At 49.5% G+C, this 5,004-nt stretch overlaps 1 annotated feature.

Moving 5' to 3' along the window:
- Window positions 4,258-4,757: an enhancer, noted in NCBI's record as "H3K27ac hESC enhancer chr7:97652101-97652600 (GRCh37/hg19 assembly coordinates)". NCBI's record gives its function as "activates a minimal SCP1, AML or CMV promoter by ChIP-STARR-seq in naive H9 embryonic stem cells {active_cell/tissue: H9 hESC(naive)}" and the evidence as "EXISTENCE:reporter gene assay evidence [ECO:0000049][PMID:30033119]".

The raw sequence follows: 5,004 nt of genomic DNA on the forward strand, positions 1-5,004 counted from the left end.
CTTGCTTTTTTTTTTTTTTAATTATGGTAAAATATGCATAACATAAAATTTGCCATTTTAGCTATTTTTGAGGGTACAATTCAGTGGCATTTATTACATCAAAAATATTGTGCAACCGGGCTGGGCATGGTGGCTCACGCCTGTAACACCAGCACTTTAGGAGGCTGAGGCAGGCAGGAGGTCAGGAATTCAAGACTAGCCTGGCCAACGTGACAAAACCCCGTTTCTACTAAAAATACAAAAATTAGCTGGGTGTGGTGGTGTGCACCTATAATCCCAGCTACTCAGGGGGCAGAGGCAGGAGAATTGCTTGAACCTGGGAGGCGGAGGTTGTGGTGAGCCGAGGTTGCGCCACCATACTCCAGTTTGGGCAACAGAGCGAGACTCTGTCTCAAAAAAAAGAGAGACAGAGAGAGAAATAAACAAAATATTATGCAACTGTCACCACCATCCATCTCCAGAACTTTTCCATCTTCCCAAACTGAAACTGTCCCCATTAACCCTCACTCTCCATCCCCCTTATCCCCAGGCTCTGATAACCAACATTTTACTTTTTTTCTGTCTCTATCAGTTTGACTATTCTAGGTACATTATATAAGTGGAATCATGCTGTATTTGCCATTTTTTTTTTTTTGGAGTTTTGCTCTTGTTGCCCAAGCTAGAGTGCAGTGGTGCAATCTCGGCTCACTGCAACCTCTGCCTCCTAGGTTCAAGCGATTCTCCTGCCTCAGCCTCCTGAGTAGCTGGGATTACAGGCGCGCACCACCACGCCCGGCTAATTTTTTTGTATTTTTAGTAGAAACGGGGTTTTGCCATGTTAGCCAGGCTGGTCTTGAACTCCTGACCTCAGGTGATCCACCCACCTCAGCCTCCCAAAGTGCATGAGCCACCTCGCCCGGCCTTTTTGTTGTTTTTTTTTGAGACGAGTCTCACTCTGTCATCCAGGCTGGAGTGCAGTGGCACAATCTTGGGTCACTGCAACCTCTGCCTCCTGGGTTCAAGTGATTCTTGTGCTTCAGCCTCCCAAGTAGCTGAGATTACAGGCGTGCGCCGCCATGCCAAGCTAATTTTTTGTATTTTATTAGAGACAGGATTTCACCATGTTGGCCAGGCTGGTCTCAAACTTCTGACCTCAAGTGATCCACTTTCCTCCGCCTCCCAAAGTGCTGGGATTACAGGTGTGAGCCACTGTACCCGGCCATATTTGCCTCTTTGTGACTGACTTATTTCCTCTCCTCCGCTCCCTCCCTTCCTTCCCTTCTTTCTTCTTCTTCTTCTTTTTTTTTTTTTTTTTGAGACAGGGTTTGGCTTTGTCCCACAGGCTGGAGTGCAGTGGCATGATCTCTGCTCACTGCAACCTCTGCCTCCCTGGCTCAAGCAGTCCTCCCACCTCTGCCTCTCTAGAAGCTGGGACTACAGGAATACACCACCACACTTGGCTTTTAAAATTTTTTTGTAGAGATGAGGTCTCACTTTATTGCTCAGGCTGGTCTTGAACTCTTGGGCTCAAGTGATCCTCCTACCTCAGCCTCCCAAAGTGCTGGGATTACAGGTGTGAGCCACAGCGCCCAGCTGTGACTGTCTGATTTCACTGAGCATAATGTCCTCAAGGTTCCTCCATGCAGTAGCAGGTGTCAGCATTTATTTCCTTTTCAGGGCTACATAATATTTCATTGTATGGACAGACACATTTTGTTCATTCATTGGTAGGTGGACTCCTGGGTTGCTTCTACCTCTTGGCTATTGTGAATAATGCTGCAATGAACATGGGTGTACAAATATCTGTTGAGGACGGGTGCAGTGGCTCAGGCCTGTCATCCCAGCACTTTGGGAGGCTGAGGTGGGAGGATTGCTGGAAGCCAGGAGTTTGAGACCAGCCTGGCCAACATAGCAAGACCCCATCTCTACAAAAAATAAAAAAGTTAGCTGGGCATGGTGGGGAATGCCTGTAGTCCCAGCTACTTGAGCGGCTGAGGCAAGAGGATTGCTTTAGCCTGGAGGTTGAGGCCGCAGTGACCTATGATCTTGCCACTGCACTCCAGCCTGGGGGACAGAGTCAGACCCCATCTCAAAAAAAAAAAAAAAAGAGGTTAAAAAATCCCACAAATATCAGCTGGAGTCCCTGCTTTCAATTCTTTGGAGCATCTACCCAGAAGTGGAATTGCTGGATCTACATTTTTTTTTTTTTTTGAGACAGAGTCTTGCTCTGTCACCCAGGCTGGAATGCAATGGCGCGATCTCAGCTCACTGCAACCTCCGTCTCCCAGGTTCAAACAATTCTTATGCCTCAGCCTCCCGAGTAGCTGGGGCTACAGGCGCCCACCACCATGCTTGGCTCATTTTTCTATTTTTAGTAGAGACAGGGTTTCACCATATTGGCCAGGCTGGTCTCGAACTCCTCACCTCAAGTGATCCACCTGGTTCGGCCTCCCCAAGTGCTGGGATTACAGGCGTGAGCCACTGCGCCTGGCCTACCTTTGTTTTTGAAGTGGGTTGGGTGGGCCTGGGTTTCTCAAATCCCAGTATAGCACTGCATAGGATATATCACGGTCCTCAGTTCTCAGAACCTGGGTCTCCTCAGCTGTGAAAAGGGATAGTGATAATAGTGGCAATCACAGGGTTGCTGTGAGAGATACTTAAGATTTTGTAGAAACACCCACGCAGGCTGGGCGTGGTGGCTCACATCTGTAATCCCAGCACTTTGGGAGGCCGAGGTGGGAGGATCACTTGAGCACAGGAGTTCAAGACCAGCCAGGGCAACACAGTGAGATCTCCTCACTACAAAAAATATATATAAATTGGGTGGGCGTGGTGGTGTGCACCTGTAGTCCAATCTACTCGGGAGGCTGAGGTGGGAGGATTGCTTGAGCCTGGGAGGTGGGAGGTCGAGGCTGCAGTGAGCTGTGATTGTGCCCCTGCTTTCTATCCTGGGCAAAAGAATGAGACTCTCAGAAAAAAAAAAGAAAAAGAAATGATGACTTCAAGACCCAAGGAAAATTGCCCGTTAAAATTTTTTAAAATAATCTTTTAAATAAAAAATTTAAAAGAGAAACACCCATGTATCGTGTACATTGAACGGTGCCTGGCACCTGCTCAGCTTTGAATCATTTCTCCCGTGATGTTGCCATCAAATCTCCAGGGAAGGGGAAGCAGGCACCATCACGGCCACCAGGGGGCGCCGCTGCCACAGCTCTGAGTCTCGGCTGGGCCGGGCTGGCATCTCCACCGCCCATCACCTCCCACCATTGTCCCCCTCCGTTTTCAGGCCGGGCCTCCACTTTCTCATGTCACCCACTCTGCTATTACTCCATGCTCCCATCCTTCCTACGTCCTTACTTTCACCCAGGATGAGAAAGTGCCCCACCGTGTCCAGGCCACATCACCTTGTCCCATGACCTATGTCCCTTCCCTCCCCAAGGGAAGCTTCAGCCCATACCTTGCGCCATTTACCCGGCCCAAGGGCTCTCCCTGCGCAGGTAATGACCTTGTCCCTTTTCCCTCTGGATGGTTTCTCTGAAGGTCAGGTGAGGTCATGTGTGGGGAAGTCCCTCAGAGACAAACACTGGGGTCTGGTGCAACAGCTCACCCCTGTAATCCCAACACTTTAGGAGGCCAAGGCAGGAGGATCGTTGGAGGCCAGGAGGAGTTCAAGACCACTCTGGGAAAAATGGCAAGATCCCATCTCTACAAATAACTTAAAAATGAGCCAGGTGTTGAGCATGAACAGCTACTCAGGAGACTGAGGTGGGAGGGTCGTTTGAGGCCAGGAGTTTGAGGCTGCAGTGAGCTATGACTGTGCCACTGCACTCCAGCCTGGGTGACAGAATAAGACCCTTGTCTCAAAAATAAATAAATAAATAAATAGGCAAATAAAAATCAGCCAGGTGGGGTGATGCAAGCCTATAATTGCAGCACTTTGGGAGGCTGAGGCAGGAGGATTGCTCGAGGTCAGGAGTTCAAGACTAGCCTGGGCAACATCTCTACAAAAAAATTTAGAAATGAACCAGATGTGGTGGTGGGCACCTATAGTCCCTGCTACTCAGGAGGCTGAGGTGGGAGGATCACTTGAGGCCAGGAGTTCAAGGCTGCAGTGAGCTATGATTGCACCACTGCACTCCAGCCTGGATCACATAGTGAAACTGTGTCTCTAAAATCAAACCAAACCAAACCAAACCACAGCCCAGAGCTGGTGACAGGGTTGGGACAGCTGCAGTGAGCCTCAGGCCAGGGGCCCATGCCTTCCTCAGGAGCTCTGAGGAGTCCTTCCTGGTCAGAACACACTCCAGGAATTGCACTTTTCCAGCAGGGCTGGAGAGGTGTCCACAGGCCTGAGCAGACCCGCCCCTGGGAGAGAGGCCTGTGGACACCAAGGCCAACTCTAAAGGGGGTAGCTGCATTTGTAGCCCAGCTCCTGGGCACTTACTAGGCCCGAATGCGGGCTCCGCGTGGCCAGAGAATTGGAAAATGCAGAATTTTTTTTCCACAGGAAATCTCCAAATGTTTGAATATTGGCAGTTAGTTACAATTATTTTCAAACTCTTCATGGGCCAGTCAAGGCAATCTACAGCCGGGCTTGGCCTGTGGGTACCATTTTGCAGCCTCTGATGGAAGCTTCTTGAAGACACTGGTCAATGCTAATGGTCAATACCTTGCAGCACTGATCACAGGGATAACCTGAGTTTTAAGCTGCCTGGGTGATCTTTATTTTATTTTTATTATTAATGTTTTAATTTTTTTTTAGGGGCAGGGTCTTGCTCTGTTGCCCAGGCTGCAGTGCAGTGATGTTATCATAGCTCACTGCAGCCTTGACCTCCTGGGCTCAAGCAGTCCTCCCGACTCAGCCTCCTGAGTAGCTGGGACCACAGGCACTTGCAAACGTGCTAGGCTAATTTTTTAATTTTTGGGTGTGTGTGTGGCGGGGGTTGGGTCTCACTGTGTTGTCCAGGCTAGTCTCGAACTCCTGGCCTCAAGTAATCCTCCCTCCTCTGCTTCCCAAAGTGCTGG

This window comes from Homo sapiens, chromosome 7, assembly GCF_000001405.40.
Source record: "Homo sapiens chromosome 7, GRCh38.p14 Primary Assembly".
Taxonomy (NCBI): Eukaryota; Metazoa; Chordata; class Mammalia; order Primates; family Hominidae; genus Homo; species Homo sapiens.